This window comes from Homo sapiens, chromosome 1 (assembly GCF_000001405.40).
Source record: "Homo sapiens chromosome 1, GRCh38.p14 Primary Assembly".
In the NCBI taxonomy this organism is placed as follows: domain Eukaryota; kingdom Metazoa; phylum Chordata; class Mammalia; order Primates; family Hominidae; genus Homo; species Homo sapiens.
In genome coordinates this window covers 101,513,311-101,520,873 of record NC_000001.11, presented here as the reverse complement: position 1 = coordinate 101,520,873, position 7,563 = coordinate 101,513,311, and the positions used below count along the sequence as shown (strand labels likewise).

The 7,563-nt window shown below is 33.9% G+C and overlaps 1 annotated feature.

Annotated features, from left to right (window-relative positions):
* Positions 412-521: a silencer, noted in NCBI's record as "silent region_1126". NCBI's record gives its function as "represses an Ori minimal core promoter by ATAC-STARR-seq in GM12878 lymphoblastoid cells {active_cell/tissue: GM12878}" and the evidence as "EXISTENCE:reporter gene assay evidence [ECO:0000049][PMID:35858748]".

Genomic DNA, 7,563 nt, shown 5'->3' with positions numbered 1-7,563 from the left:
CGCTCCCCCAAATCTGTTCAACAGCAAGAACATGGAAAATTTCTCCCCAACTTAGGGTTTCTACAATAAAAAAAAATGAGATGATGTGGACAACCAGCTTCTTAACCACCTTGGGTTTCTTGGCAGTAAACCTGTCTCTGCCTCAAGCCACAGGAATCATCAGGAGTGCCTAAAGAAATATCTCTGAGGACAGAGACAAAGAGCAGAGATGGGAATACTATCTATAAAACTGGAAACGTCTCTGTAACTCAGCCAAAAGAGACATCAAATCAGAGTGGCTGTTCAACAGCACCATGTTATAGGAGGTTTGTGTAACAGCTTCCCTGGCACAAACCCCTAGCCAGCCTTCCCGCACTCAAGATATCCGTTTTGGGATATCCTCCCATTCGAGAAGGGAGGCACTCTGATTGCCTAGAACCAAGGAAATCTTGGTCTTAAGCTGCCATCTAGTGACCAAAAGGAGGCAGTGACCTAGCTGGGGTGATAAAAATAATGACAATTAACAGCTAAATTATGAAGAATCTCTAAGCAAACATGTCCAGTGTAAATCAAAACAGGTCATACACAGAAGCCTGGAATAAATAATCGTTTAATGCAAAAACATGGATGTACATCCACAAGAAACAGCAGACAAGAAACCATAACCTCTCCAAGTGGACAAACCAAGGAATCAGGTACTGACCCTAACAAAATGGCAATATGTTAACTCTCTGATCAAGAATTCAAAATAGCAGTTTTGAGAAAACTCTGTGATTTTCAAGATTACACAGAAAGGCATATTTAAAAATTATCAGGGATCTCTAACAGAGATTGAAATAATTTTTTAAAATCAAACAGATATCTTGGAACTGAGAAATGTATTTGCTAAACTCAAAAATTTATTAGAGGGTTTGAAGAACAGAATAAATCAAGCAGAGAAAAGAATCAGTGAGCTCGAAGATAGGCTATTTGAAAAAAACAGTCAGAGAGTAAAAAAAGAAAAAAGAATGAAAAGCATGAAAATATTTCATAAAATTTAGAAAATTACTTCAAAAGACCAAATCTAAGAATTATTAATTTTCAAGAGGCAGTTGAGCAAGAACAAGGGGTAGAAAGCTTATTCAAAGAGAAAAAAACAATAACAGAAAACTTTCTAAATGTGAGAAAGAGATAAATATCCAGGAACAGGAAGGTCAGAAAACACCAAACAGATTCAACCCAAATTAGACTACCACAAGACCTATAACAATTCAACTTTCTAAAGCTAAAGTGATAGAAAGCATCCTAAAAGCAGAAAGAGGAAGAAAAGCAAATAATATATAAACAAAGCTCCAATTCATCTGGTGACACAATTCTCAGTGGAAACCATACAGGCCAGGAAGTAGTGGGACAATATTTTCAAAGTAATGAAAGAAAAAACTACCCTCCAAGAATACTGTATTCATCAAATCTATCTTCAAATATGAAAGGTTTTTCCTCAACAATCAAAAGCTGAGAGAATTTACCACCACCAGACCCGTCTTACAAAAAATGCTACAGACAGTCCTTCAATCTGGAAGGGAAAAAAAAAAACATTAACATGCAAACAGATAATTTTTCAAAGTATAAAACCCACCGGTATAATTAAGTACATAGAAAATCACAGAATACTCTACTACTGCAACAGGTGTACAATCTATTCATAACTCTAGTGTGAAGCCCCAAAGGCAAATCTACAAAAAACCATAATACCAACAGTAACCTGTTAAGAGATTGGCAATATAAAAATATGTAAATCAAGACAACTTAAAGTCAAATGGGGGACAGAAGTTAAAATGTAGAATTTTTGCATTTTTGCTTTTTTTAACATTCTTTGTGATCTAAGTTTTTATCTCTTTAAAATAATTTATTTTATCTATAAGATGGATTTTCTAAGTCTCATGATAACCACAAATGCAAAAACCTATAATAGATTCACTAAAAATAAGAATGAATTAAAACACACTATCAAAGAAAATCACTTAACCACAAAGGAAGACAGTTAAAAAAAGAAGAAAGAAAGAAAAGAATTACAAAACAACCAGAAAATAGACAACAAAATGATAGTAGTAAGTCTTTACTTGTCAATAACAACACAGTGTAAATGGACTGAATTCTCCAATTAAAAGGCATAGAATGGCTGAATGAATAAAGAAGCCCCAACTATATTCTTCCTACAAGAAACCCACTTCATCTCTAAAGATACACATAGACTAAAGCTGAAGGAGTTAAAAAAGATAATCCATGCAACTGGAAATAAAAAACAAGCAAGAGTAGCTACATTTATATGAGATACAGTAGACTACAAATCAAAGACTGTAAAAAAAAGACAAAGAAGGTCACTATATATAATGATAAAAGGGTCAATTCAGTAAAAGGGTATAACAGTTATAAATATCTCTTTATCTGACACTGGAGCACCAAGTATATAAGTAAACATTAATAGATCTAAAGGAAGAGAGAGACAGATGGCAATACAATAACAGTAGGGGACTTCAATACCCCAGTCTCAGTAATGGACAGATCATCCCAACAGAAAATCAACAAATAAACATTGGAGTTAAGCTACACAATAGACCAAATTAGCCTAATTGACATTTACAGAACAATATACGCAACTGATATAGAATTCACATTCTTTTCATGAGTACTTAAAACATTCTCCAGAATAGACCATATATTAGGCCACAAAACAAGTCTCAGCAAATTCCAAAAAAGTAGAAATTATATCAAGTATCTTTCTGACTACAATTGAATTGAACTAAAAATTGTTAACAAGGGAAACCTCATAAAATACAGAAACATTTTGAAATTCAGCAACTTACTCCTGAATGAGCAATAGGTCAATGAAGAAATTAAGAAATAAATTTACATTTTTTAAACAATTAAAAATGGAAATACAACATAGCAAAATCTATGGGATACAGCAGAAGTAGTACTGAGAGGGAAGTTTGTATCAATAAATACCTATATCAAAAAGGTAGAAAGACTTCAAATAAACAACCTAATGATGCACCTTAAGGAACTAGAAAAGCAAAAACAAATCAAACCCAAAATTAGTAGAAGGAAAGAAATAATAAAAATCAGAGCAGAAATAAACAAAATTGAAACTAAAGGCAGATAATCAACAAAGTGAAAACTTGATTTTTTAAAAGACACACAAAATTGGCAAACCTTTAGCTAGATTAAGAAAAAAAAAAGAGAGAAGATCAAATAAATGTATTCAGAAGCCAAAAAAGGAGACACAACAACAGAGATCACAAAAATAAAAAGAATCATTAACAACTATTATGAACAACTATATGTCAACAAATTAGAAAACCTAGAAGAAATGGATAAATTCCTGAACGCATGCAACCTACTATGATTGAACCATGAATAAATAGAAAACCTTAACAAACCAGCAACAAATAACAAGATTGAAGCCATAATAAAAAGTCTCCCATAAAAGAAAAGCCTAGGACTTGATGGCTTTACCACAGAATTCTACCAAATACATTTTTGAAATCTAATGCCAACTCTACTCAAAATCTTTAAACAAATCAAAGAGGAGAGAATATTCTAAACTCATTCTATGAGGCCAGCATTGATACTAAAATCAGGCAAAAACATAACAAAAGAAAGAAAACTACAGGCCAATATCCCTGACGAACATAAACACAAAAATCCTCAATAAAATACTAACAAACCAAATTCAACAACACACTTAAAAAAGCACACACTGTGATCAAATGGGATTCATCCCAGAGATGCAAGGATTGTTCAACATACATAAATCAATAAACATGATACATCACATTATATGGTTTGGCTTTGTGTCACTACCCAAATTTCATACTGAATTGTAATTCCCAATGTTGGGGGAAGGACCTGGTGGGAGGTGACTGGAGCATGGGGGCATAGGTCCCCCTTGCTGTTCTCATGATAGTGGCTGAGTTATCATGAGATCTGGTTGCTTAAAAGTGTGTAGCACTTCCCCCTTCACTCTCTCTCTCCCCTGCTGCCATGTGAAGATGTGCTTGCTTCCCCTTCACCCTTCCATCATGATTGTAAGTTTCCTGAGGCCTGCCAGCCATGTTTCCTGTACAGCGTGCGGAACTGTGAGTCAATTAAACCTCTTTTCTTCATAAATTACCCAGTCTCAGGTAGTTCTTCATAGCAGTGTGAGAACCGACTAATACATTACATTAATACAATCAAGGACAAAAACTATGATCATTTCAATAGGTGCCAAAAAAGCATTCAGTAAAATTCAACATTCTTTCTGATAAAAACTCTCAACAAAGTGGGTATAAACGGAACATATCTCAAAATAATAAAGACTATCTATGACAAACCCACAGCTAACATCATATTAAACAGGTAAAATTAAAAGACTTTTCTCTAAAATCTAGAAGAAGACAAGGACATCCACCTTCATTAATTTTTTTTTTAAATAGAGATGGGGTCTCACTCTGTCACCCAGGCTGGAGTGCAGTGGTGTGATCATGGCTCACTGCAGCCTCAAACTTCTGGCCTAAAGCAATGTTTTCACCTCAGCCTCCCTAGTAGCTGGGACCACAGGTGCATGCCACCACACCCAGCTAAATTTTTTTTTTAACTTTCTGTGGAGACAGGGTCCCACAATGTTGCCAGGCTGGTCTTGAACCCTGGACTCAAACAATCCTCCCACCTTGCCCCCCCCCCCGCAAAATGCTGGGATTACAATCATGAGCCATTGTGCCTAGCCCTTTCTTACTTTTATTCAACATAATACTGGAAGTACTGACCAAAGCAATTAAGCAAGGAAAATAAATAAAACTTATACAAATTGGAAAAGAGGAAATCAAATTGTCTCTATTTGCAGATGACATAATGTTATACTTAGAAAAACCTAAAGATTCCATCAAAAAAACTGTTAAATTTAACTGATAAATTTGTTAAACTTGCAGAATACAAAATTAACATACAAAAATTAGCAGCATTTATATATGCCAACAGAAAACAATCTGAAAAATAAACCAAGAAAGCAATTCCATTTAACACAACTACAAATAATATAAAATACCTAGGAATCAATTTAACCAAAGTGAAACATCTGTACAAGGAAAACTTTAAAACACTGATAAAAGAAATTGAAGAGGACATGAAAAAATAGAAATACATTACATGCTCACAGATTGGAAGAATTAATATTGTGAAATGACAATTCTACCCAAAGCACTCTACAAATTTAAAGCAATCTTTACCAAAATACCAACGTTATTCTTCACAGAAATAGAAAAAACAATCCTAAAATTCATAAAGAACCACAAAATACCCCAAATAGCGAATGCAATCCTGAATCAAAAGAACAAAGCTGGAGGCATCATACGATTTGACTTCAAAATACACTACAACATGTACTACAAAGTAACCAAATAAGTATGGTACTGACATAAAAGGACATATAGACCAACAGAACAAAATAGAGAACCCAGACGTAAATGCATGTATTTATAGCCAACTCATCTTTGACAAAGGTGCCAAGAACATACAATGGAGAAAAGACATTCTCTTCAATAAATGGTATTGGGAAAACTAGATAACTATATGCACAAAAATGAAATTAGACCCCTATCTCTCACCACATATGAAAATCAAATCAAAATGGATTAAAGACTTAAATGCAAAACCTGAAACTACAAAAATACTAGAAGAAAACACTGGGGAAATGCTCCAGGACATTGTTCTGGGCAAAGATTTATCAAAAACACAGGGAGTAATGAATGCTGGTGAGGGTGTGTAGAAAGGGCAACCCTCATACACTGTTGCTGTGTGTATAAATTAGTAAGGCAGCTGTATGGAGTACAGCCTGTATGGAGGCTTCTCAAAAAACTTAAAATAGAACTAGTATATGGTCCAGCAATTTCACTACTGCATATATATCCAAAAGAAAGAAAATAAATATATTGAAGACATATCTGCATTCCCATGTTCATTGCAGCACTATTCACAATAGCCAAAATATGGAATCAACCAGTGTGCCCATAGATGGATGAATAAAGAAAATGTGGTATAGATACACAATGAAATATTACTGACCCATAAAAAGGAATGAAATCCTGTCACTTGCAACCACATAGATGGAAGTGGAGGTCATTATGTGAAATGAGACAATCACAGAAAGATAAATATCGCATGTTCTTGTTCAAATATGGGAGCTAAAAAAGTGGATCTCATGAAGATAGAGAGTAGATTGGTGGTTACCAGAAGCCAGGAAGGGTAGGAGAGAGGGAGGATGAAGAGAGTTTAAATAATGGGTATAAATATACAGTTTGATAGAAGAAATAAGACCTAGTGTTTGATAGATACCAACTGGACTACAGTTTACAATAATCTATTATATATTTCAAAAACTAGAAAAGAATGATTTGAATGTTTCTAACATAAAGAAAAGATAAATATTTAAGATGGTAGATATCATAATTACACTGATTTGATCTGTACACATTATATGAATGTATTAAATTTTCACATGTACCCCATAAATATGTACATATATATCAATTTTAATTTTTTTTTAAGAAGGAGAATTTAGAGTCTGAGGCAGGAAGACTGCTTAAGGCCAAGAGTTCGAGATCAGCATAGGCAACACAACAAGACCATCTCTAAAAGTATGAAGCAAATTCTCCAGGCATGGTGACCACACCTGTCGTCTACTCAGTGGGCTGAGGCAGGAGGATGGTTTGAGCTCAGGCATTCTAGGATGCAATGAACTATGATTGTGCCACTGCACTATAGCCTGGGAGACAGAGTGAGACCACATCTCTTAAATTAAAAAAAAAAAATTATAATGTGAAGCACTATCTATCTATCTATCTATCTATCTATCTATCTATCTATCCATCTATCTACCTATCTACCTACCTATCTAACTAACTAATCTGTCTATTATACAGGCAATTGGGGCTGCTAAATGAATCTGCTAAGAGATACAACCTGGTTAACAACTTAAAATTTAGTGTTTCAGATGATCTCTTCTACAGGGTAAAAATAAATTGTATCTCTACAGGACAAGTTTCTTTTGCATTGTCATGAGTGAGACTCATTTGAATACTATCAGTTTCTACAATTTAATTTCCTCTCCTACAGGGTTGTAAACTAGTCTGGACAGAGAAACGCAAAGGTACACACCCTATAAAGTCCCATTATCCCTAAAGGGAATCTCATTTAAACACTCCTCTAAAAGGACAATCATCTCTTTTGCCAATTTCTAAATCTTTGAATATTTTCTTCACAAATCTAACGTGAATTATGTAATCATTCCTTTTCCTGTATAATGGATCTATAGAAAATGAATGTTTTAATTGGCCTACTAGGCCCTCTTCTTTTGTATCAAGATGGTAATAAAACTTTGTCATATTCTCATAAATTGTCTGAAACATTTTCTTTTACAGATTTGTTAAATTTCAAACTGTTTAAGAAAATCTAACATGACAGCTTTTAATTTTACATTGAAATATCTAACTGATATTTTAATCTAAAAGGTATGAAAGAAATTAAGTTTGTGAGCATAACATAAATTTTAGGAAAACCCTATTTATA